General features: G+C 56.1%; 1 protein-coding gene and 1 long non-coding RNA gene across 6 annotated transcripts in view, besides 3 other annotated features; both read right to left on the reverse strand.

Moving 5' to 3' along the window:
• Nucleotides 1-2,478, reverse strand: SWINGN (SWI/SNF complex interacting GAS6 enhancer non-coding RNA). Its single transcript, NR_047495.1, has one exon. It is a non-coding gene; the product is annotated as an SWI/SNF complex interacting GAS6 enhancer non-coding RNA (long non-coding RNA).
• Nucleotides 1-25,991, reverse strand: part of C13orf46 (chromosome 13 open reading frame 46) — a 47,563-nt gene continuing 21,572 nt past the window's right edge. The window contains exons 2-4 of one of the 5 annotated variants that reach the window (XM_047429981.1): nt 25,198-25,449; nt 21,133-23,052; nt 1-21,020 (exon numbers count right to left, since the gene is read on the reverse strand). The gene's annotated coding sequence lies outside the window, so the exon portion shown is untranslated. Of the gene's footprint in view, nt 25,450-25,991 lie in introns of all 5 variants that reach the window. The other 4 variants (XM_047429983.1, XM_047429982.1, XM_047429984.1 and 1 more) reach the window with 4 other exon arrangements.
• Nucleotides 4,424-4,493: an enhancer, noted in NCBI's record as "active region_8045". NCBI's record gives its function as "activates an Ori minimal core promoter by ATAC-STARR-seq in GM12878 lymphoblastoid cells {active_cell/tissue: GM12878}" and the evidence as "EXISTENCE:reporter gene assay evidence [ECO:0000049][PMID:35858748]".
• Nucleotides 9,479-9,980: an enhancer, noted in NCBI's record as "H3K4me1 hESC enhancer chr13:114638965-114639466 (GRCh37/hg19 assembly coordinates)". NCBI's record gives its function as "activates a minimal SCP1, AML or CMV promoter by ChIP-STARR-seq in naive H9 embryonic stem cells {active_cell/tissue: H9 hESC(naive)}" and the evidence as "EXISTENCE:reporter gene assay evidence [ECO:0000049][PMID:30033119]".
• Nucleotides 9,981-10,462: an enhancer, noted in NCBI's record as "H3K4me1 hESC enhancer chr13:114639467-114639966 (GRCh37/hg19 assembly coordinates)". NCBI's record gives its function as "activates a minimal SCP1, AML or CMV promoter by ChIP-STARR-seq in primed H9 embryonic stem cells {active_cell/tissue: H9 hESC(primed)}" and the evidence as "EXISTENCE:reporter gene assay evidence [ECO:0000049][PMID:30033119]".

A 25,991-nucleotide genomic window follows, 5' to 3' on the forward strand; every position in this document is an offset into this window, starting at 1 on the left:
TTCGCACACCGCGTGATTCCTTTTATATGAAATATCCAAAACGGACAAATCCATAGAGACAGAAAGCAGATCTGTGGTTTCCAGAGGATGGGGAAGGAATGAGGAGTGATTACTTAATGGGGATGAGCTGTTGTTCTGGAGGGATGAAATGTTCTGAAACTGGAGAAGCAGAGGTTGCACAACGTCGTGAATCCAGCAAATGCCGCCGAAGTATATGCTTCAAGATGGCTGTTAAGTGAATTTCACTCCATAAAAGGTGTGTTTTAGAGGGTTATGCCCATGAGCGAGCCTACCTATACATGTGCAGTGTCACATTACTGAGACGATTCTGTTTAGAGCAAAGCCACCTACCTCCCACGTCCCTTTCCAGCCTGTCTTCTTAGCCACCTGCCTCCCACATCCTTCTCCAGCTTTGTCTCCTTGCATGCAGCCCTCTCAGGGCTTTTGAGGCCTGGAGGCCAAGGGTGCTGGGAGGTCCCACTTTGTACCCTCTCCCGAGAGCTTTGAGGGGTACCTGCCGCCTCTAGCTGTGCCTTCTCTGTGCCCTTCAACTCTGGAGTGAGGTCAGATCTTGGCTCTGGGGCCACCACCAGCTGTTTCAGGCTTGCAAAGTTCTGTCCGACAAAATACAGCTCCGCTTCCCTGTGGGGGGAAGCATTGGCCCCAACAGGCCTTCTTCACCAACGGGGACAGCAGTCCCTTGAGTGGAGCCCTGGACTCAGGGAGCTCTGGTCAGTGAAACTCTCAGCTAGGGGCTAAGGGTATGGGGACCTTCATATGTGGGACAGGCTCCTCGCTGGGGACGCTGCCACCAGGCCTGTGAGGCAGCCAGCCAAGTTCCACTTGCTGCAGCTGGGGCTGCTCTGGACGGCCAATCCAGACACCTCCCCCCTCTCCACCCTCTTTCCATCCTCAGGTTTGCATTTCTTAGGTCTGGCACTTCAACTGCAAAGTACAAGTCCTGGGCTATCTCCTCCTGCTCTGCTGAAGGCCACATCGATGCTTGGAAGGTAGGGTCAGCCCAGTCCCTTGCTCCACACACCCAACTACACTGATGGAGCGACCGTCTACACAGGGATCCTACGGTGGGGAGTGAGCCTTGCTGGCCTGATGCATGGCAGTGGTTCCTGCTCCAATAAGACCAAGAATAATTAATAACTGTGACTAAGTTAGAAGCTTTGGCTGCATCTGAATTCACCAGCGTTTCCAGCTCCTGAGGCCATGTGCGGTGTCACCTCACTCCTGGCAGACAGACTCCCACTCGGAGGATGATTTTTCATAGCCAGGGTCGCTCTGTGGACCTTGGATGGACCAACGTGCTTTCCATGTCCAACTTTGTCAAGATCCGGGGAAGATTCTCCAGCAAGTCTCTTGGAAACATGTGCATGTGGCCCCAGGCGACGTGAGGGGTGCAGTCTGCCTGCGTTATGCAATGCTCAGGCCAGTTTTCCCTGAGAGAGGAATGCTGCCGATCCTCTGCGGTAACCCACAAAACTCCACGGAGATGCTTGGAAGGAAAAGCATCGCGTCCTCCAGATGTTTTGAAATGTTCAAGTATTTAAAAGGGAAATGGAATTTCTGTTTATCCTTTTAAGTGACAATTATTCATTGCGTCTTCCTGGCCACAGCTCATTCAGCACTACTGCAGATCCGGCCAGACCCCCAGGAGCCGCGGCCCCTGCACAGCCAAGGCCAAGAAGCTCCCATCGTGGAGGGGGGCGCATTCCGGACCTGTGAGGCCCGGGGTTCGTTTTTATGCCTCCTTAAAGGGATGAGCCAGAGAAGAAAGTCTTCGCAAAGCCTTTGCCCCAGGAGGGGCGGGGCTGCGCAGGGCGCCTGTGGAGGCCGTGGCCGGGCAGGTGGGGAGGCTCACACACAGGCCAGAGGCTTCCCTGGAAACTGACGCCCTAGGGCAGGTCCAGCTCCTGGATGGTCGCAGGTGAAGAAACGCCAGGCCCAAGGGTCCTGGGAGAGAGAGGGGAACAGCGCCCAGGAAGAGGTGCAGGTTCCCAGGGACTGCAAGGGCCGCCGCCACCCTCCCACACCCCACCCTCGCTGCATCACCAGTCAGCCCAGGGCAGGCTGCTGACCCTCCCTTGGCCTCAGTTTCCTCATCTGTAAAATGGAAAAAGAAGCATGTCCACCTCACCAGTGGTCACAGTCACAGGTGCTGACATGGAGAAGGATTGATGCGTCCTCCTGAGTGCTGCCTTGTCATGCTATAAACCAGGAGGCCTGGCTCTCTGCCTCCCGGGAAGGTCTGTTTCTAATCCTGTGCTGGGTCTGCGTGGCTCCATGGCCTCAGAGGCTGACACCGAGTGTGGTGTCCCTGGGTCACCGTGCTCCTTGGTTTGGTCCAGCAGGAGAAAGGGCAGCCTGCCAAGGAGAAGGCTGTGAGCTTGGCAGGGGAGAACTTAGGCGCTGTGCCTTTGGGAGGCTGGGATTTAGATCACAGCTGGGAAGCTAAGTCCTGACTGCACTGGCCGGAACCAATGGGCTCCAGTAGCCGGATGCTCTGCCAAGTCAGGAGGTAATAACCGCCACGGCCTGGGAGAGAAGCTGGCACAGCCGTGGGCCCCTGCCCTGCGGTCTGGCCTCGCAGGTCCCCAGGCCGTGTACAGACACTGTGCGGCAGGGAAGCAGAGGCAGCCATGGGGAGCAACCCTGTTTCTCAGTGCTACATGCCTACTCTCCCTGAGCTGATGTCTGGAAGACAGTAAAGGAGACCTGAGGCAGTGCTGCCCCTCCTTCCGTCTGCCACCTCCTCAGGGCTGGCCCAGGCCCTGCAGAGCAGGTGGTGGTGGCTGCTGGTGGTAAAGCCCGTCCATCCAGAGCCTCGCTCTGCTCCCAAACCACCCACCTCCCGCTGCACATGTGGCAGCTTCAGGAGCCTGGCGGGGCTAAGAGGAGATGACAGACCCCAGCAAGGACAGGCTCAGCTTCTTGGGGACCGAGTCATTGCCTGTTGCTTCTCCTGGGGGCCTCGACTGTCCGAGTGTGTTCAGGCACACGGTGCCCTGTCTGTTTCCCAGGCACTTGGGCCAAGGCTGGACAGGGAGGTGCCATGTGGGACGAAAGCCCAGGCTGTGCAGTGCTGGTCACCGGGAGTGACCATGGGTGAAGTCGCGCTGTGAGTGACTGCCTGTTATCACTGACCACGCAGGGCCATCCTGGGTGACCCGCTGTGCCACAAGCAACTGGTTCACATTGGAGCCCCCCTCTGGAGCCCTGGGCAACCCGCTGCCAGTGGGCCTTTCTCCTGAGGCCCCTGGAGTCCCGGAGCATCCCGTGAGTTCATCTGCCATACCTGTGATTGCCATGTGGGCCCAGCGCCCTCCAATGGAAAAGCTGCATTCAGTTCTGCCCGAGGATCCCAGGCCTACGACACTGTCCTCAGGCTGCCAGGGAGCAGGAGGCTGTGGGGATCTGCGTTCTTGCCAGGCCTGGGAGCAGCAGCCAAAAAGTGGACTTACGTGGACAAAATGTTGGGCCAGGGAGGAGCCCTCGGCTCTGGACGGATGTCTCTGGTGCTTTTATGCCACGTGCATTTCTGCAGATTTGATGCCCGGCAGCCAGCACTGGGCTGTGGCCATGGTGGTGAGGCAGCCTTGGGTCTGCACGAGGCTCGGAGGCCTCCAGGAACCTCCCAGGAATGTGACTGTGCCTGGAGAGAAGCGCCATCTGCACGGCGCAGTCCAGATGCTTCTCTCCTACAAGCCCATCATCAAACACACAGCTGCCCAGACTTCAGCAGGATTTGTGCACAAGAAACGCAAAGGCACAGTCCATCGGGTGAGGCAGAGGTGGAAGGAGCACCGGGGTGGGAGTGGAGGAGCACCGAGGTGGGGGCGCAGGAGCACCGAGGCGGGGGCGCAGGAGCACCGAGGCGGGGGCGCAGGAGCACCGAGGCGGGGGCGCGGGAGCACTGAGGCTGAGCTGTCTCTAGTGATCTCTCAAGCCTCAGTGCAGTGGCCACAGGGCAAGGTGCCTCCTGGTGTGTCCTCGCCTCCAAATCAGGCTGCTCCACTTCCCAGGTCAGAGTCCTGGGGGGTTGTGTTGACCCTGAGCCCCCACGAGCATCCAATCCAGCAGAGCTGGAAGGACCCAAGAACCTGCATTCCTCATGGCTCCCATCATGCTTCCGGTCCAGGAGCCACCATCCAGACCACACTCCCATTCATCCCCTGGCCACGGAAGCTGAAGCCTTGGTTTCCCCACCTGTAAAGTGGGAGTATCAACATCACCCACATCAAAGGGCCTGGATTAGATGCGGTGATGCCCGTGGACTTTAGCAGCCCCGGTCCTCCAGGGGCCCTCCCAGGGAGCTGAGGCCCGGGTGGTCCTGGCGGCCGCTCCTTCTCCAGGCCGAAGACAGGAAGGTCTCTTGGGCTGACCTCAGGCAAGAGGCGGGGTGGGTCACGGCCTCCAGGGCCAGGCTGGGGCCTCCACAGAAAGCCCGTGGGTGGCGAGAGGGAGCCGGCTGGGGTGACTGAGGGTCGCTGGGTAGATGAGGGAGGGACCCGGGGTTCTTGTGTTCACGTGTGTATTTGCCCCGTGTTTCTGCTGACATGCCACGTGTGCAACAAACAGGCTTGGCGAGCCATCCCCACCACCCAGGCCGAGACGCCAGACGTGACTGGCACCCCAGGGTTCCCTCCCGGCCCCCAGAGGTAACCCCAATGCTGGTTTACCACAGATGACTCATTCTGCCTGTTTTAGGGTTTTGAGTAAATGAAACCCAACAGCGTGCAGTCTTTTTGCCTGGCTTCCCTTTAACCACGTCTGAGAGGCTCACTTTGCGGTTGCTTCTGTGGCTCCTGGACAGTTTCCCTTGTGCGGACACAACTCAGTGAGAGCACCCCTTCTTCCATTTGTAGACTTTCCAAATAGTCCAGGCGAGAGAGGCTCAGGTCTTGAGTTCAGGGAGGGGCAATGCACAAGCAGACGCCAAGTGGAAGGGAGTACACCCCTCCCTTGGCGGGGAGGCCCTCGGGCTGGTGGGGATGAGCGCCCCTCAGACGGCACCTGCGGGTGACAGGGTGTGACATTCTGCTGTTTCTCGGAAGTAACTCGCAAGCAGCATGGGGGTTCCTAGTGTGTTTCACAGACTCTCACCAAATGTTAGGGTTCACTCCTTGTCCTACAGCTTAAATACACCAAAAGTGAGAAAATTACGAGATAACATTTCCCTCAGAGACCCATATTCTGTGTTAAAGAATTCTTCCTTCTACCTAAATCCATCTCTTTACGGTCAGATGTCATTGGTTGTGGTATTTTGTCCATTTTCAGCTTTGTTTAGATTTTTTTGACATGCAATTAAATGCCCATATTTAAGACGTACGGTTTGATAAGTTTTGACATTCTGCTGCACCCACAGAGCCATGACCACAATCGAGACCATGGACATCCCCTCCCCCAGGCTGGCCCCTGCCCCGTCCCTCCACCCTCCTGCTCCTCTGATGACACTGACCTTTCTGTCACTGTAGATTAATTCATTTCTGTCCTGGGTAACACAGCGTGTATACTCTTATTGCCTGACATTGTCTCACAGTGTAATTATTTTGAGATTCATCCAACAATTCATCCTTTCAATGCTGGGGAGCACTAGTTGCATGGGTGTATCATAATTGGTTCATCCACTGACCCGTGGAGGACGTTCAGGTTGTTTTGGATTTTGGTGATTACAGGCAAGGTTGTTGTGAACGTTTACGACACAGTCTTTCTGTGGACGTTCCCAGAACAGACATGTCTGGGTCACATGGTGACTCTGTGTAGCTTTTTAAGAAATGGCCGAACCGTTCCCTGTGGTTCTTGTGTTATGATCCTGCCAACATGCTGCGCGCTCCAGTTGCCCCACATCCTCGCCAGCCCTTGGCAGGGCCACTTTTGAACATGTTAGCCATGCTGGTGGGTTTGTAGGCACCTCTCATACTGGTCTTCGTTTGCACTTCCCTAAGGACTAAATGGTTGTCAGCATCGTCTTGCGTGCTTCTGTCTGTTAATATAGCTTCTTTGGTGAAATATCCATTCAAATATTTTGCCTACTTTTTAATTGAATTGTTTTGTCTCATTATTGTGTTGAAAGGCTTCTTGACATGTTTTAGAAAGAAGTCCTTTTTGAACATGGTTTGCAAATAATTTCTCCAGCTTGGCAGCTTGCCTCTTTATAGTGTCTCTTAAAGGGCAAAAGTTTTAAATTAATAAAATTTAGCTTATTGGTTTTTTCATGTAGTTTGAACTTTTTGTGTTCTATTTAAAAAACCTTTCCCAAACTAAAAGTCACCATGATTTTATCTTATCTTCTTCTTACAAGTTTTACTGTTTTAGTTCACACATTTAGATTTATGACCTATTACAATTTTTTTTTTTGAGATGGAGTCTCGCTCTGTCAGCCACACTGGAGTGCAGTGGCGTGGTCTTGGCTCTCTGTAACCTCCACTTCCCAGGTTCAATCAATTTTCATGCCTCAGTCTCCTGAGTAGCTGGGATTACAAGCACATGCCACCATGCCCAGAAAATTTTTGTATTTTTAGTAGAAACAGAGTTTCACCATGTTGCCCAGGCTGGTCTTGAACTCCTGACCTCAAATGATCCACCTGCCTCAGCTTCCCAAAGTGCTGGGATTACAGGTGTGAGCCACTGCATCCAGCCCAAAGTTAATTGTTGTATGTGGTGTGAGGTAAGGGTTTTGAGGATTTGTAATTGTTTTATTTTGTTGCTTATGGGTGTCCAAATGACCCAGCATTCCTTGTGGAAAAGGTTATTCTCTCCCTGTTGAATTGCCTCAGCACATTTATCAAAAGTCAATTGGCCATAAATGAGTAGTGGCCATAGATGAGTAGGCCTGGGTGTTGTTCTGTCTCATTGACCTATTTATCTGTTATAATGATTATATTGACTGTCTTGATTAAAATCAAGTAATATAAATTCTTCAACTCTGTTCTTTTTTATGCTTGCTTTGGTTACTCCAAGTCCTGTGCATTTCTGTATAAACCTTAGAATTAGCTTACCAATTTCTACAAAAATCCTGCTGGGATTCTGATTGGGATTGTGTTGATTCTGGAGATCAATCTGGGGAGAGTTGGCATCTTCCATGAACATGCTATGGCTCCATTTATTTAGGCCTTTTTTCATTCCTCTCATTGATGTTTCTCAGTTCTCAGTATATAGGACTTGTAAATCTTTTGTCAAGTTTATTTCTAAGTCCTCAGTAATTTTAGCTTTGCATTTTGAGCTAATTATAGCTTCACAAAAAGTTGCCGAATAGTACAGAGGGGTCCCACATTCCATTCCTCAGCTTCCTACAATGCAGCACTTTGCAGAGCTACAACAAATTCTTAAAACCAGGAAACTGATATGGGCACCACGCAAGTCACTGGATGACGGAGCTCATTTGGACATCCTAGGTTTCCGTGTGTTTGTTTTATTCTGGGTACGACTCCGTGTGGAGATTCTGCGATGTGTGGCCGCATATGTGGATTTCTGTAACCACAACCACATTCGAGATGCATGACCGTCCATCCCCACAGGTGTGAGGTGTGCCCCGCGGGGCCCTTCTCTAACCCACAGCACCCGCCGGCGTCACTCATCCTTTCAAGAGTGTTATGGGAACGGAGTGCGGAATGCAGCCTTTGAGATGGAGTTTTCTCCCAGAGTCTGTTTCTCTCCGTTGCTGAGCACGTTGTGTGGTGTGGAGGCACCACGATGCGTCGGACACGCACCTGCTGACAGACAATGGGGCTGTTCCCAGGTTTTCGCTGTTCCAAATAAAGCTGCTATGATCGTTTGTGTGACTATACATTTTAATTTCTCTGCGATAAATGCCCAGGAGTACAATCGCTGGGTCATAATGGCAGGTATGTGTTTGACTTTTTATGAAACTACCAGACACACAGGATGGATGGAGATGAGTCGGATGCATGGGCAAGGGTGTGGGGCCACAATTAGAAGAAGGGGTCTTGCAATTTTCCTTTTAAAAATCACTTTCAAATAAAGGAAATAGACCCACACATACATGGTAAATTACTTTCCAACCAAGGTGCCAAGACAACTCAATGGGAAAAGAAAGATTGTGTGTGCTGTGGGCTAATTGGCTACGGTGAATCGAACTGCCCTCCAAACAGTGGACTCTGGGCAAGTGCTCGAGGCCTGCCTTTCAGTGGTGATCCTCACCACGCCATCTGGGCCCCACTGCTGGGCTCCACGCATACACACTGGAAAACCAGACCTGAGCGTGTCGCTGCGGAGATGTGCTGTGAGCCACCCTGATGGGGTCACACGGGAACTCCGCCAGCACCTCTAACGGGCCCCACTTGGTAGGTGCCCCAGTTATGGTCTCCAGAATCCAGCCAGGAGGGAATGTAGTCTGAAGAGAAGCAAGTTCTAAACGGGCTCTGGGAAGGGGCTGTCCTTGCACCCGGAGTGAGGACGAGGTATTGGCCCTGTGGGGAGCTGACTGGCTACAGGGAAATATTTTTGAGGAAATCCTGGCCTTCTTCCCTTCCATTCCCACTGGCTCAAAGGAGCCAAGGCATTCCTCCCTCTTCTGGGCAAGTTCTCCATTTTGCTTCCGACGTTACAAGCCACTTCAGACCCTTCCTCCCAGCACAGCCCGAGGGGGGGAACAGTTTCCTGGCCAGTGGCGAGAGGGCCTGGGCTGGCCGCCTTCCTGAGGCCTCAGCCTTGCTGGGATGGGGCTTGGTCCCTGCGGCTGTGGCAGTGACTCGGCCCCCGGCGCCCTTCAGCTCCTCAGGGAGAGGTGGAAAACAGCTCTGGAAAGCCACTGGGAGGGGCGACTGCAGAGGTTAGGGGCCCCTGGCCCTGACCGCTGCTTCTCCAGCAAGCCTGGCCCCCTTGTGCTATTAACCAAGAAATGCTTGGCCTGTTTGCTTCCGGCTGTGAAGCGCTGGCCCTGGTGGAAGCCAGGACAAACAGAGCCCGGGGTAGCTGCTGCGGGGCTGAGCTGGGCTGAGCCAAGTCCTGATTCTACCAACCCTGGCTTTTGTGGGATTTCAAATTGTCCTCTTAAATATCTCCCAGAAAGCAAACATTCTTCCTCTTTAATGAGGAAAGGGATTGGTAGAAGGGGTCTCTTGACATCTCCCTGGAAGGGCCAAACTGGCAGCCACTGGCAACACCACTCGGGTTACCCACGGCAACCATTGTTTTGGGGTAAACTGCATACGTGCCCTTAGGGTGGGAGTTTTCCTGCCGGGAATGCATTTTCATTTTTACACTGAACTTTTCTCTGCTCCCAGCCCGCCAGCCACCGGCAAAATACACCTCCCAGATTAGGGTGCTTTAAAAGAGAAATAAACAGCCCTGTGCCCCCAGGGGCCATGCTTGGGCCTAGTGTCAGCTAAAAAATAGCAGCTTTATGAATCGTGATCACAGACAATCCTTGTGCCATGTGAAATGGACGCAGTCACACTGGATATCATTTTAAAATCTAGAGTTGTTTAGCACTGAGTTGATGAAAAGACGGCAGGATTCCATTAAGTTCAAAGTTCTCTAGCATTGGACAGAAAAGCCATCTACATGTAACCGATTTTCATCAAGTTCAGAGGCTCAAAGATGGAGGTGGAAAAGACAGACCTCAATGAAGAGCCGGAGAAACTCAGGAGTCAATTGAGTCATCAGCCCAGGTGAGTGTGGCTGCTTGGAGTCTCTGGGTGAGCAAGTAACTGCCAGCGGCTTCTTCCTACTCAAGGCCCGGATAGAGCCCATTCATCCAGGCAACATCCATGAGTGTTGATAGAACATTCATCCAAGTTCTAAATGGGCTCTGGGAAGGGGCCGTCCTTGCGCCCAGAGTGAGGATGCGGTATTGGCCCCGTGGGGAGCTGACCGGCTATGGGGAAATATTTTTGAGGAAATCCTGGCCGCCTTCCCTTCCATTCCCACTGGCTCAAAGGAGCCAAGGCCTTCCTCCCTCTTCCGGGCAAGTCCTCCACTTTGCTTCCGACATTACAAGCCACTTCAGACCCTTCCTCCCAGCACAGCCCGAGGAGGGGGAAACCGTTTCCTGGCCAGTGGCGAGAGCTGCAATAGAGAAACAGTTTTACACACGCAGAGCCGGCTAAACAGGACACTAGAGTTTTATTGTTACTCACATCAGCCTCCCTGAAAATGCAGAGACCAGGGTCTCTCAAGGCTAGTTTAGGGGAAGAGAGTCGGGTGGGTAGGCAAGGGCGCTTGCTGCTGACTGGTTGGGGGTGCAGTCGTCGGGGTGTGGGAAATGGTCCTTGTGCCCCGAGTCGCTTCTGGGTGGCACCAGGGAGGCTGACCGGTCCAGGGGGGGAAATCAGTTGTCAGACTTGCAAAAAACCTGAAAAGACATCTCAAAGGCCAGTCTTAGGTTCCACCGTAGTGACGTTATCTGCGGGAGTAGTTGGGAAGTTGCATATTTTGAGCTCCAGAATAAAGGGGGGTAATCCTTTGTGTCTCCATTTTAGCAGAATTCAGGCTCCTCTCGTCCTCGTAGCCTAGTGGTCTCTCAATAGCTTTACAAAGGCTGTTGAGTTTTGCGGAAGGGTTATTATCATTTAAGCTATAAACTAAATGTCTCCCAGAGTTAGCTTGGCCCAAGCCCAGGAATAATTAAGGGCAGTTTGAAGGCTAAAGGCAAGATGGGAGTTGGTTACCTCGGGTCTCTTTCACTGCCATAATTTTTCCACTGTTATAATTTTTGCAAAGGTGGGTTCATGCCTGTGGCATCCCCGGTCCGAGGCTACAGGACTCTCCTCCCAGGGATCCAAGTGACTGTGCAGTGACCGTGGTCACGCCACAGCCACCAGCCAGAGTGCAGTCCACATCGTGGCCACGTATGGCTCCTACAATCTCAAGCTTGCCGAGAAGGCAGCCGTAAACCCGCACAGGTTAGAGTCCTTTCCCTTGGTTATGGTAACAATCATTAGCACTGGGGTCTTTCCGAATCCAGATGCAGCCACGACCTCTTCTCATACACAGCTGCAGGTGAGATGAACATCTCAGTAGCGTTGTAAACCAAAAGGCGTCTGAGATAAGGCTCAGTCAATTTAGGAAGTTTATTTTGCCAAAGTTCAGGACGCACCTGTGACACAGCCTCCGGAGGTCCTGACAACATGCCTGAGGTGGTCGGCGCAGAGTTTGGTTTTACATATTTTAGGGAGACATGAGACATCAACATACATCGGATGAACGCTGGTTCGGTCCGGAAAGGCGGGACAGATGGAAGCAGGGAGGAGGCTTCCAGGTCGTAGGTAGATAAGAGACAAACGGTTGCACTCCTGAGTTTCTGATTAGCCTTTTACGGAATGCACAATTTACAGGAATGGTCACTCATGCCTGAGTCTGGCTCAGTGAAATGAGGGCAGAGGAAGTGATCAGCTGTGTGCGTTTGTCTCACGGGAGCAGTGGGGTGACTTTGAGTTCTGTCTGTGCTTTGTCCACAAGGAATTTCTTTGTGGGCAAATCGTGAGGCAGGCGTGTAGCTTTTTAAAATCTTTGTAGTTCCCTTACTCAGGAATAGAATGGGAGGCAGGTTTGCCTGGCACAGTTCCCAGCTGGACTTTTCTCTTAGGCTCAGCGATCTGGGGTCCCGAGAATGATTTTCCTTTCACAAGATGAACATGCAGCTCAAAGGGGGAGTGGGATGTGGTTGCGGCCTCAACTGAACGCCTCTCTGGACCCAATAATTAAAAGGACTTGCTCCTCAGATAAAAGTGCTTTTCTTTTCTCAATAGTGAGTCTATGAGGTTCCTATCTGCTGCTTTAACAGATTACCACAAACCTAGTGGCTTCCAACAGCTCAAATGTATTATCTTACAGTCCTGGAGGGGAAAGTGTGAAAAGGGCCTCAGGGTGCTGAAGGCAGGGCTGGCAGGAGCCTGGTGGAGAAGCCACTGCTTTCTTTTCTCAGCCTCCAGAGACGGCAGCAGCCTTGGCCCACGGCCCATCTTCAAACCCAGCATCTTCAAATTGCTCTCTCTTTGACCCGCCCACCTGCCTCTAAGGAGCCCAGACCTTACGCTGGGTCCAGCAGCCTCTCCATCCTCCCTAAACTCCAGGAGCACCCACCGAATAATCCAAGGCTATCTCCCGACTTGGGATTCCTAACCTAGTTCCCCCTGCAAGGTTGCCCTGTTCAAGCGTCCTGGGGGTTCAGCCTCCGACGTCTTTGGGAGGGGCCCTTGCTGTGCCCACCACTGGGAGTCGCTCCCTTCCACACGTCCGCCGTGAACTTTCCATTCCAGAAACACTGCACCAGCTGTAGCTTCTCTCAACACACAGCTCTTTCCTGTCTCCAGGTTTTGCTCAAACTTCCCACTGCCCAGCACGTCCTTCCAAACAGCCTTCACTCACTCTCAATCCCTATGGAAAACTCAGCTTGGGCCTCACGCCCAGGAAGCCTCCTGGCCCCAGGAGGCTCAGGCCCTGCTGTGCACACCACAGCACCTGCGGCCTCCCTGGGAACCCAGCCACCCCCACCCCAGGCCCACGTTTCCTCAGCCAGCTCCTCCCACGATCCCTTCCAAGCTGGCATTCCAGACCCGCCAGGTGCCTTTCACCCTGTTGTAAACTCCGGGAGGGCAGAATTCAGGTCGGACTCATCTCTGTGGCCTCAGTGGAACTTGCTCAGCTCAGGGTCAGGGACAACAGCGTCCGGCTTCTCACTCCTTCAGGTCCCGGCCCTTTGCACATAGGCTTGGCTGCCTGACACGTTCCAGCCAAGGGCTGCAGCTGGCCCCTTCCCCCCGCCCCGGTGATGCCAGAAGCCACATGTTCCGGAGTGTGGAGCTGCAAGATGCAGGCAACCCAGAGCCAGAAGGGGACCACCCGATGGGGAGGACAGAGACCACCCGATGGGGAGGATGCAGACCACCCGATGGGGAGGACAGAGACCACCCGATGGGGAGGACGCAGACCACCCAACGGGGAACACGGGGATCACCCAACTGGGAAGATGGGGGCCACCTGGACGGGGGGAACGGGGACCACGTTGATGGGGAGGACAGAGACCACGTGGATGGGAAAGATGGGGACCACGTGGATGGGGAGGGCGGCACCACTCAGCCTGGTTCACACCTTTTGCAATAAGCAGCCGCCTCCTCCTGGGCTTTGGGCTGAAGGGGGACCTGCTCCAGGTTCTTAGCCGTGAAATGGGCACAGACCCGTTTCTCACCCCTGACAGGGAGGCTGTCCAGCCCTGGAGATGTTGTCACTCAGGCTCCCAGTGACCTCCTGTGCGCTGTGTATCCTGGGCCAGGGCACTGACCTCTCTGGGCCCAGCGCCATCTCATGCTCACAGGTCTGATGACAATACTTCTCAGGAGGTGCTGGGAAGGCCAAAGGGATCATCCCATGTGCTTCTAAGTCAAACACGATTCAGCGTGAAAAACACTGGCCTGGGTCATCAAGAAACCGGGTGCCAGGCAGGATGAAAGGAAGTGCCGCTGGCCTCATCTGAGCCAGAGCCTCCTGTCTGTCATGTGTGTGGGCTCTGACGCAGGGGGACCAGGATGCCCGGGTGGCAGCCGTGATCAGGGGAGGCATTCGGGCCACCTCAGAGGCCCCAAGAGGCTACCTGCCTGCCTGGCCCTGCCCATGCGGCCAAAGTCCACCCCAGGGGCGGGGGCTGCGCCTCGGCCTCAGATGCACCGTCAGCCGCATTTGGCTCCTCTTACTACTGAAGAGGGGAAGGAAGAGTGTGCAGCAGGGGCCTGGGCCGTTTCCCCGGAAGCGAAGAGCAGGAGGCCAGAGCCAGGTGGGCTCCCCTAGACCCTGCGGTGCTGCCGCCAAGCCCCCCACCCCCAGATGAGCCAGCCTGCAGCACACACTGGCGGGGTGGATGCCAGCCGAGTATTCCCAGGGGAAGCACTTTCCCTGTGCCACCCAGACAGAAGACGCAGGTGCTGGTTTCCTATGGGGCTCTGCGTGAGGATGGGCGTCTGGGACCCTGGTCTCCTCTAGGACTCCATGTGTGAGGCTGGGCATTCGAGACCCTGGTCTCTGGGACTCCATGTGTGAGGCTGAGCGTTCGAGACCCTGGTCTCTGGGACTCCATGTGTGAGGCTGAGCGTTCGAGACCCTGGTCTCTGGGACTCCATGTGTGAGGCTGAGCGTTCGAGATCCTGGTCTCCTCTGGGACTCCGTGTGTGAGGCTGAGCGTTCGAGACCCTGGTCTCTGGGACTCCATGTGTGAGGCTGAGCGTTCGAGATCCTGGTCTCCTCTGGGACTCCGTGTGTGAGGCTGAGCGTTCGAGACCCTGGTCTCTGGGACTCCATGTGTGAGGCTGAGCGTTCGAGACCCTGGTCTCTGGGACTCCATGTGTGAGGCTGAGCGTTCGAGATCCTGGTCTCCTCTGGGACTCCGTGTGTGAGGCTGAGCGTTCGAGACCCTGGTCTCTGGGACTCCATGTGTGAGGCTGAGCGTTCGAGACCCTGGTCTCTGGGACTCCATGTGTGAGGCTGAGCGTTCGAGATCCTGGTCTCCTCTGGGACTCCGTGTGTGAGGCTGAGCGTTCGAGACCCTGGTCTCTGGGACTCCATGTGTGAGGCTGAGCGTTCGAGACCCTGGTCTCTGGGACTCCATGTGTGAGGCTGAGCGTTCGAGATCCTGGTCTCCTCTGGGACTCCGTGTGTGAGGCTGAGCGTTCGAGACCCTGGTCTCTGGGACTCCATGTGTGAGGCTGAGCGTTCGAGATCCTGGTCTCCTCTGGGACTCCGTGTGTGAGGCTGAGCGTTCGAGACCCTGGTCTCTGGGACTCCATGTGTGAGGCTGAGCGTTCGAGACCCTGGTCTCTGGGACTCCATGTGTGAGGCTGAGCGTTCGAGATCCTGGTCTCCTCTGGGACTCCGTGTGTGAGGCTGAGCGTTCGAGACCCTGGTCTCTGGGACTCCATGTGTGAGGCTGAGCGTTCGAGACCCTGGTCTCTGGGACTCCATGTGTGAGGCTGAGCGTTCGAGATCCTGGTCTCTGGGACTCCATGTGTGAGGCTGAGCGTTCGAGACCCTGATCTCCTCTGGGACTCCATGTGTGAGGCTGGGCATTCGATACCCTGGTCTCTGGGACTCTGTGTGTGAGGCTGGGCGTCTGAGACCCAGGAACGTGCTGGAAACAGGAGCTGTTGACATCGTTTCCCAGGCTGGGCTGCTGCTGTTTCTCTGCCTGTCAGATGGAGACACAGTTCCAGCCTCGCAGGTGGCCTTCAGCACAGCACGCCAGGCACCCTGGGTGCTGCCCCCACTCTCCCCACCCAGAAGGCAGCTGCGCAGGGTCCCTGGCCTGGAGGACCTGCCTGGACCTGCCCAGCGCCCTGGACGAGGTCTGCCCTAGGCCTCCGCATGTCACCTGTCCTCTGAGCAGTTCCTGCCACTGCTTTACTCTCACCGCCTTCCTCTCCCCTTAGCACTTTACCTCCAAATGGGCTGTCCTTGCCGGCGGCTGACTCATTGCTCCTCCAGAGCAGGGAAGTTTGCAATGAGCTGAAGTCCTGTGGAGCCCAGAGCCGGAGGCTCACCCCCAGATTTAATTAATTAAAAAGTAAGAGCTTGTGAAGGTCACAGGGGCCAACATGAAGAGCTGCCAAAGGCCGATCATGGTGGCATGAGCAACAAAACGCACAGAGGCCGTGCTGATTGCAAACCACAGAATCCACTACTGTGGTCACTGACCTACACTTTTCACAAACCACAGAATACAATAGACGCATATGAGTTCTGCTGCTGTCGCCACTGGCCGGGTCAACACGCAGCCCGGGAGGAGGGACCCACTGCTCTTCCCTGCAGGAGAACCTCGATGGATAAATGCCTGAGGAAATGGGGAAACAGAAAATCACCACGAGTCAAAGTCCACGGAACTGATTGCTGCTGACAAGACCCCCATGGATGCCAAAATCAGAGAAGTTCCAGGAGAATCAGGATTTGGTCTCCCAGTGTCTCCAGGACGATTATCCCCTACAGAGGAAGGACGGCGATTTGACCAGGAGACTCGGCAGACACCACCTGGACCTGTAGTTGGACACATCAGCTCAGGAGCCACTGAGAGACAGCCTTACCTCCACAGGATGCTTGCCAAATGGGCTGGACTTCATACAGTCCTGAGAACACGAGACAGCAAAATCCATGCCCAGCCCCCAGGACAAGGATGGCCAGAGCTGACGCGGGCACGGGCAACCAGGGGACTGGGTGTCTGGATGCAGTGAGGGAGGATGAGGGAGACGGCAGGGCGCGGTAGGAACCCCTGGGCCAGCGGGCTCCAGGCAGCGGAGGCGGCCTGTTGGTGATCGGTCAGCCAGTTACTGTGCCCTTTACCTTGAGGATGGGACACAGGTCCTCTGGCGTCTCCTTGGACTCCCTGATGCCTCTGAGAAAGGCACAGCGCCCCAGTGCCCGCCGGAGGTGAGGTGGGAGCCAGGTGGGAGCAGTCAGTGCCCCTCACGAGCACTGCAGATGGCCGGCGGCCATGGCTCTCTAAGGCCCGCTTGGTGGATGCTGAGCCCTGCCCTCAGGGAGCGCTGGCCCCTCGGGTCCCTGGGCCCTGACAGTCCCACTGAGGCTCGGCTCCATTTCTGCAAATGGCTGCCTCCCACAGGAGAGCTCGGGGAGAGCTCCGGGCCGGGGTCAGACAGCAGCGTTGGCTCCTGTCAACAAAGAGTCAAACTCTGTAAAATGTGGGGAGATTCATTCTGAGCCCAAGACAAGTGACCGTGGGCCATGACCCAGCCCTCAGGAGGGCCTGAGGACATGTGTCCAGGGTGGTCAGAGAGTAGCTTGCTTTTATGCATTTTAGGGAGAATGAGACTTCAGGCAATACATTTAAGAAATATGCTGGTTCGGCTCAGAAAGGCAGGGCAATGCAAAGCAGTCAGGGGAGCAGAACTCTCAGGTTATAGGAAGATTTAAAAACTTTCCGGTGGACAATTGGTTACATTTATCTAAAGACCTGGGATCAATAATAGAAAGGAATGCCTGAGTTCAGATCCAGGATCCTGGAAACCCAGGTTCTTATTTGTGGAGGAGGCCTTCAGGTAGCAGCTTCAGAGGGCTGTGAAATGTTTCTCATCAGACTTCAGGTCTGTGTGGACGTTAATGCTGGAAAGGTAGAACGAGGCATGTCTGACCCCCGTTCCCGTCATGGCTGGAAACCACCTCTCGGGTTACATTTTAAGAGGGCTCTGGTGAGGACGAGGTCCACTCAGATGGTTGGGAACCTTAGTGTTTTATTTTTGGCTTACGCTCTGTTGGTGGGTGATGACGAGTGTCAGGCATGGCCCCTTGCAACGTGAGGGAAGGCAGCAGGGCCTGTGGCCAGGGCTGGTGGGAGCCCTACCAGACATTCCATGGAAACACCTGGTGGAGGAGGCTCTCAGCAAATGCCCGCAGTCCCTGCACCCGGCTGGCACATCTCCACGAGCGCGCCTCCTCCACACACTCATCGTGGGCAGGTTTGGTCATCACTGACGGGCTGCTCTGCCTCTCCTCTCCTCTGGCTCGGGACCTTCAGTATCCCGACAGGAAGGAATGCGGTACAAGTGCATCCCAAGACGCACGCTGCAGGTCACCCCAAGGCCTCACAGACCCCAGTCACCCCGGGATGGATCCCTCCCCAGGTTGTGACCTTGCTCCCCTCCTGCTGGAAACCTTCTCCAGACACAAGCCCCTCAGGTGGCAGGGCTCATCTTGTCCTGGAGGCTGCCTTCCCCTCCCCTGATGCTCCAGACCCCTCCAGGTCACCTGGAGATGGATGCAGAGAAGCTGCCCAGCTCCCCATGTCCAGGGTCACCTCACTGCCGGGACCCCCTCCAGTGGGCTTGCACCCCCCTGCCACCCCATTCTGATCCCGGCTCTGCTGAGGCCATCCTGCTGCCTGCCAGGACCAGGTGCCAGGGCAGGTTGCTGCTGGATGGGCTTCCTTGCTGGGTTACCTGCTCCGATGGGGAGAAAGGTCCTCCTTACACCGCACTGACAATGGCCTTGGAAATGTTCCCCTTGCGGCCCTGTAGGTGTGTGATGGGCCCTCCAGGTGTGTGACGGGCCCTCCAGGTGTGTGATGAGTCCTGCAGGTGTGTGCTGGACCCTCCAGGTGTGTGACGGGCTCTGCAGGTGTGTGACAAGTCCTCCAGGTGTGTGATGGGCCCTCCAGGTGTGTGACAAGTCCTCCAGGTGTGTGATGGATCCTCCAGGTGTGACAAGTCCTCCAGGTGTGTGATGGGCCCTCCAGGTGTGTGACAAGTCCTCCAGGTGTGTGATGGGCCCTCCAGGTGTGTGACAAGTCCTCCAGGTGTGTGATGGGCCCTCCAGGTGTGTGACAAGTCCTCCAGGTGTGTGATGGGCCCTCCAGGTGTGTGACAAGTCCTCCAGGTGTGTGATGGATCCTCCAGGTGTGACAAGTCCTCCAGGTGTGTGATGGGCCCTCCAGGTGTGTGACAAGTCCTCCAGGTGTGTGATGGGCCCTCCAGGTGTGTGACAAGTCCTCCAGGTGTGTGATGGGCCCTCCAGGTGTGTGACAAGTCCTCCAGGTGTGTGATGGATCCTCCAGGTGTGACAAGTCCTCCAGGTGTGTGATGAGTCCTCCAGGTGTGTGACGGGCCCTCCAGGTGTGTGACGGGCTCTGCAGGTGTGCGAAGGACCCTCCAGGTGTGTGTCAGGCTCTCCAGTTGTGCGTGGGCCGTTCCGGGTTTCATGGGCCCTCGGATGTGTGATGAGGCATCTTCCCGGGAACAGCAGGCAGGTTACTTTGTGCCCTCTCCCAGGCCACACCACATGGCTTGTGGTCCACTGAAACCATCAGGTCTTCTCCCAGCACTTTAAGAGGCCAAGACAGGCGGATCACGAGGTCAGGAGATAGAGACCATCCTGGCTAACATGGAGAAACCCCATCTCTACTAAAAATACAAAAAACTAGTCAGGTGTGATGGTGGGCCCCTGCAGTCCCAGCTACTCAGGAGGCTGAGGCAGGAGAATGGCGTGAACCCTGGAGGCAGAGATTGCAGTGAGCCGAGACTGCGCCACTGCACTCAGCCTGGGCGACAGAGCGAGAATCTGAGAAAGAAAGAAAGAAAGAAAGAAAGAAAGAAAGAAAGAGAGAGAGAGAGAGAGAAAGAAAGAAAGAAGAAAGAAAGAAAGAAAGAAAGAAAGAAAGAAAGAAAGAAAGAAAGAAAGAAAGAAAGAAAGAAAGGAAAGAAAAACAAACCAAGTCTTCATCTGAGCTACTCCCAAGTCAAGGCCCTTAATACTGTGCTCTAGTAAACGAAAATGTAGCTCATTTTGTTCCTCCCTTGGGAGGCGTCGAATCGTCAGTCTGTTTCTCTACATATTGACCCTTTTGTTCAGATTGTGACAAGATCTGGCCATTGCCAGTCTTATCCAGGCCATGTGACAGGAGGTCAGCCAGGGGAACCACCTTGAGGTCAGTGCATGTTTAGAGTCCAGTGCTCTGTGGGCTGGAGTGCAGGGCAGTAAACCCACCGCCGCCCGTTCACTGTGATTTAGGGTCCAGTTCACCGCACTGTGGGCTGGAGTGCAGGGCAGTAAACCCACCGCTGCCCGTTCACCGTGAGTGAATGCCGCGTTTAAAACGCTAACCGAATTTGGCGTTCTTGCTGACACATTTTTATTGCTATTGTACGAGGTATCAGTGCAGAACGGGTTTGGATTGGTGACGGCTTTATTTGCGCCCCGCTGTGTCAAGCTCCCCAGCGGAGACCCTCACCTAGCACTGTACTCCCCACCGGCCAATTGGACCAACGTCGCGTGGAGGAAGAACTTGATGAAAGCTCATCTTGAGAAGCACACGCACCCCTCTAACTCACGTAACAGGACCTATGTGGCATGTGGTTGGAACAGGGTTTCCCAGGACCCTCGGGGGGACCAGTCCCCCTCTGTGGTGGGGCATCCTGGGAACTGAAGGGCGTCCTGCAGGCTCTGCACGCGGCACACAGGAATGCCAGCCACACACACACTTGACACACAATGCTGGCGCAGGAGGACCCAGGCCAGGAGGCTGTGTGGGTCGTCAGCCGGGTGAGGTGGTCAGCTGTGTCAGGTAGTAGCTAGGCCAGCACAAATATCCCAGTGTGCTGTGGGTGGCAGCTGCTGGTCCAGGGAGGACCCCAGGGTGAAAGGAGGGCACTGGGGTGGGAGCAGAACGGGGCCGCAGAGGACGGAGAGCCTGTCCCTGTGCCCTATGGCATCGTCAGGCCACGCTGGCTGTTGGCATCCAGGCCATTGGGTCTCCTGGGTCCTCCCCTCCACCCTGGAACAGTAGAGGGGTCCGAAGCCTGGTCTGACTGCTCGCTGGCCGAGGAGGAAACCTGCGCCCGGCAGCTCTCTGAGGGTCTCACAGTTGGGGAACAGCAAAGCCACAGCAGAGCTGGGGCTCCTGGCTGCCCTTTGGAGCCCCACAGCGGCGATAGGAGAGGAAGGCCTGGCACCCTTGGGGCCGACCGGCAGGTGCGTGGGCCGAAGGCACCCGTGGTTACTGCTGGGGCTGTCTCTTCCCTCTCTCTGGCTGTGGCCAGCACTGCAGGCCAAGATGCTCTGGGAGAGAGGGGCCAGCCACAGACCCGGGGGCTGTCGTCAGCCTGGCAGCACTACAGAAGGTGAGGTGGAGCGGGAAGCCTGAAGATTCCTGAAGGGGCCTTTGGCCCTGGAAAAGGCACATCAGAGCTGCGTGCTTGGAGGAAACGCTGTATATAAAATTTGGTTCCTCAATGCTGCTGGAATCTTCCACACCGTGGCTCCAGGACAAGCGTCGGGGCAGGTTACTTACGGGGAAGGGGGTTGGGGGAGGCTGGAGCAACTGGGAGTAAAATACTGGCTGCTGCCAGGGCAGGAGGGCGGACCAACCTCAAAGGGCCCAAAAGACCCAGAACCCGCTCCAGATGGGCAGGGCAGCCAGGAGTAGGTCACTGCTGCCGTCTGCTGTCGGAAGCAGGAGTTTCATTCTGCCCACGTGGCCTCCAAGTTCCAGCAGAAGACAGCTCCTCAGGAAGCAGGGAGCTCAGGGCCTGATGGGGCCATTAGGCCTTTTTATTTACCTGAAATGATGGCCCAAGGCTGGGTGAGGCTTCACAGATGTGAGAAGCAGCTGGCATCACAGTGGGTGGAGCGGGGAGCTGGCAGCAAGGCTTGGTTGGTTCTTGGCCCCACCTGTGCAGCTTCTGCGGCCCCGGGTGTCCATTTCCACCTCCCGAGATTCCTTGGGCCCAGGCCTGTAGTGGACACAAGCAGGTCCCGGACACACAGCCAAGCAGATGCGCAGCCATGTAGACAAGGAGCCCAGGAAGCACACAGGCTGACCCCGTGACACTTCCCCCCAGACACTCACTCAGGGGTCCACACCCACCATGGCCCATCAGCCAGGCCATTGGGAGGATGACAGCATATCCATGGGATTGGGGGTCAGCAGTGCTTTCCCGACCCCTCCTCCATGATTCTGGCCTGCCGAGCACTGACTGCCCTCTCTAGGAGCCCATGTCCAGCCAGGGTGCTGCCCCAGCGCCCATCGGGGCCATGGAGCGGGGCTCAGGCTGACCCATGAAAAGCCCACGTCCTGCCACAGGGACTCAGGGGACTTCTCATCGTTCCCAAGAGATGGTGTGGAGTTCTCAAAAACCTGCCTGAGCACACATTTATATCTGGCAATTTTTTAAAAAACTAACTACTGAGGAGTCACATAGACATGACTCAGCATGAAAGGAACCAGCCCCAGAAGAGCCCACAGCACCGGTTCAAGACCAGGCAAAACTAGCAGAAGGGACCAACGTCTGCCTGGCACCTGCCTCCTGGGACTGAAGCCCAGTGACTGGGGAGGCACAAAGAGGAAACTTCTATTTATTGTTCTTGACATCAAAAATGTTAAATTACTTATGAGTGGCTTTGACCAAAACAAGTGGTGGACATATACTCGGAAAGCTACATGAGAAAGTTAACCAGGAGGCCCTGGGCTGAGGCGGCTTCAGTGCCTGGGACCCTGTGTGAGCACACCGAAGCCCACTGGGAACTGGGCCACGAAACTGACACTGCCCAGAAACTGCCAAACCAGCCTCTCACCAGGGACTTCCTTTTAACCAGATGTCTTGTCTTTGTCCCGCTTCTGCAGACACTTAGAAAAGAGCTCCGCCCCTCAACCTCAGTGGAGCGCTGAACCTCACGCTGAACCTCACACGTTCTGGTACTGCTCAGTTCATGAATTGCTGAACGCTCCAACAGACCCCTTTGAATCTCAGTGTGCATGAGCTTATCACCTAAAACTACAAAACGCTACTGAGATAAATCGAAGGAGACCTGAATAAATTAAGAGATTTGTATTGTGGTATAATAAAAAATACATCTGGTCTTTGTCCCCTGTTCCAGGGACAGAACTCCTTAAATCTTTGGAATTTCCTGATAGGGGTGTCTGATTTCATAACAACTCTTTTTCACCACATTTGTTTACCCTAATGAGGTGACTCTTGGGGGACCCCAAGGTAGCTTTAGGGTGGGAGCTTGTTGCCAGAGGAACCAACCATGTAATTAGAGAGGAACTTCCAGCCCCCCTCACCGCCCCCACTCCTGGGAGGGGCCAGAGATTGAGTTTGTGTTCAATCACCAATGACCAATGACTTAATCAATCATACCTGTGTAATGAGGCCTAGATAAAAACTTTTGGGCATCAGGGTTGGGGAGCCCCCAGGCTGGGGAGCCCCCACGGTGCTCAGAGATCAGTGCCCACCTCCCCACTCTCTTCACTGAGCTGTTCATGGGTTTCCTTCATAATAAGCATGATTGTACGTAAAGCACTTTCCTGAGCCCTGGGAGGTGTTCTAGTGAATCTGAGGGGATGTAAAGTTCCCCAAATCTGCAGTTGTCAGGAGTGAGTGTGGGTTGCCTGGGTACCCATGTACGGCTGTCATCAGAAGTAGGGGCAGAGTCTTGTGGGACAGAGCCCTTCACCTTCAGGGTCTGTGACACTCCAGGTCGTCAGTGTCAGAAGAGTGTGTGTGACTCCCCAAAACAGGAAGGGCCTTTGAGATGAAGACGATTAAGAAGAAACAGGTCCAGGAGTGCTCTCCGGATTCCTCTTTTTGCCTAAAGCAGGGCATAGATTTACAAAGACAAAGGGCATTCTGTCCCCTCTTGCAGGGAGAACAAAGGCTAAGCCCTGAAGACAGTGTCAGGCCCTCACACCCGCAGATGCCCCGACAAGCTGTGCTCCCAGCCTCTGCCAGTCCTGTGCCTGGCCCCAAGCTGCCCACAGAGGGACCTCGGTGCTCCCATCTGTGGAGTGGGGTCATCACTCATGTCTCAGGCACCTTGGTGCTCCCATCGCCCCCTGCCTTGGGGACCTTGGTGCTCCCATCTGTAGAGTGGGGTCATCATTCTTGCTTGAGGGACCTCAGTGCAACCATCTGTAGAGTGGGGTCCTCACTCCCTGCCTCAAAGACCTCAGTGCTCCCATCTGGAGAATACGGTCATCACCCCCACCTCGGGGACCTCAGTGCTTCCATCTGTAGAGTGGGGTCCTCGCCCCCTGCCTCGGGCACCTCGGTGCTCCCATCTGTAGAGTGGGGTCATCACTCTTGCCTGAGGGACCTCAATGCACCCATCTGTAGAGTGGGGTCATCACCCCCTGCCTCAGAGACCTCGGTGCTCCCATCTGGAGAATATGGTCATCACCCCCACCTTGGGGACCTCACTGCTCCCATCTGTAGAGTGGGGTCCTCACCCCCTGCCTTGGGAACCTCGGTGCTCCCATCTGTAGAGTGGGGTCCTCGCCCCCTGCCTCGGGCACCTCGGTGCTCCCATCTGTAGAGTGGGGTCATCACTCTTGCCTGAGGGACCTCAATGCACCCATCTGTAGAGTGGGGTCATCACCCCCTGCCTCAGAGACCTCGGTGCTCCCATCTGGAGAATATGGTCATCACCCCCACCTTGGGGACCTCACTGCTCCCATCTGTAGAGTGGGGTCCTCACCCCCTGCCTTGGGCACCTCGGTGCTCCCATCTGTAGAGTGGGGTCATCACCCCCTGCCTGCCCCTCAAGGTGTTCAGGGCCAGAAGGGCTGTGTCCTGCCTCTCCCCAGAGTGGCCTGGCTTCTGTCCCTGAGGAGTTGCTTTCACATTGCCCTTTTCAGACCTGGACACAGCATTGCAACACGGAGAGTTGACCTCCCAGCCCAGACCAGCCCAGGTGCCTCTGCCCCTGTGTGCACCAGGGCTGGCCCCGCCTCTCCTGCAGGGCCCTGGGCAGCTTTCTCCCACAGCTGGGTCTGGGGTTCAGCAGGAGCCGGCGCCCAGGGGAGACACAGGAGAGACTCCCTCCCGCTCCAGGGCACGGGAGTCCTGCCGTCTCTGGTGAACCTTGCACCCACCACAGCCTTCAGAACCAGAGCCAGAGAGAAGACCCTGTCTCCCGGCAGAGCCACCCTTCCCCGGGGCCCCGGGATGTCCGTGGCGCTGGCGAGGCTTGGGAAGGCCGGGCGTTCAGAGGAACTCGGGATGTCCACGGCTGAGGGTTTTGTGGGGTCACGTGGGAAGGACACAGGGGAATTTCCACACCATTCACAGCACAGGGTTTCCCATGGGGGCTCTCTAGGCTGAGGCCTGTGGGGCCCTCATGGGCGTGTGGTCCTGGTGTGGGGAGGCCCAGCCTCTATGAGGTGATCATCATAAGGGACGTAGTGACAGCCCCGTCCCCCTCCAGCGAATGCTCAGCTGGGGAGGAGGTATGGAAATCCTGCCTTCCTTGCTTGGATCTCGGGTGTCTGTGGTTTCCAGGACGGAAACAGGCAGCCTGAGCCCTCAGCACCGGGGCCCCCACGGGGTGGTGCTGTTGGCCAGGGAGGAAAGAAGGGCAAGGTCGTCCCTGCGGGCCGGGCTGGAGCCGGGCGGGGCCTTTGCTTGTGGGAGGCGCCCGACGTCCCTTCGTGGACTGCGTGTGGATGGAACTGCTTTGGCCTCGGCTCTGCCCGGCCACACAGTGCCAGCACCACTCCCCCCCGCCGCCACCAACAGCACTGCCCACTCGGGGGAGATCCCGGCCGGGTTTCCAGACCTCAAGACTGAAAGGCATAGAGGGGCCCAGCCAGGCCCAGGCCCCAGCGCCTGCCCCAAGGCTGCACTCGCTCCCCGCCCCCCATGCCCTGCTCCCCAAGCCTCCTCCAGGCCCCAGCGCCTGCCCCAAGGCTGCATTCATCCCCCTGCTCCTCCTCCAGGCCCCACTGTAGTCACTCACAGGCGTCGCCAGGCCATGGCGCTGCGGCCCTCCCATTTCAAAGTGGTTGCCTTTTTTGCGAAACTCCACGTAGAGATGTGCTGAACTCGACTGTCTACGACGCCCAGAGGGAACGGGGCTCCAAGAGGCTGGGGACCGGCGGCACCTGCTGCTCTGTGTTCAGCACTCCGGACAGGGCCTGGCAGGGGCCACAGTGCAACGCGACCCCACTCTCGTAAGACAACCTATGCCTCTCTCCGTATATGGCACCATCTATATGCACAGGGATTGAATACATGGTCCCGTGTGTGGGCATCTAAACCCAGACAGAGAAAACTCTGGAAAGAACACACGATTGTTCCGACAGCCCCCAAGGAACCAGAACGTTGAACTGAGACTCGCCCTTTCCCACATCACCTGCAGTGAAAACACACAGAACACTTGGCAGGGGTGGGGGTGACACGGCAGGGAAGAGGTGGCCAGTGGCACGGACACAGGTGTTTGGAGCCCGGCAGGGACACAGCCAAGGTGTAGCTGGCGTGGCTGGAGGAACTGCGCCGGCTCAGGGTCTGTGCTGCTGTGTGGCCGCCGCTCCCGCCTGCCCAGGGCCGCTGTGTGGCCACCCCTCCGCCTGCCCAGGGCCGCTGTGTGGCCGCCGCTCCCGCCTGCCCAGGGCCGCTGTGTGGCTGCCGCTCCCGCCTGCCCAGGGCCGCTGTGTGGCCGCCGCTCCCGCCTGCTCAGGGCTGGGTTCCAAGGGGGCCACCTCGGAGGTGCAGGCACCATGTGGGGCTGGGCCATCTCCCCCAGCCTGGGAG

Source organism: Homo sapiens, chromosome 13 (genome assembly GCF_000001405.40).
Source record: "Homo sapiens chromosome 13, GRCh38.p14 Primary Assembly".
NCBI lineage: Eukaryota > Metazoa > Chordata > Mammalia > Primates > Hominidae > Homo > Homo sapiens.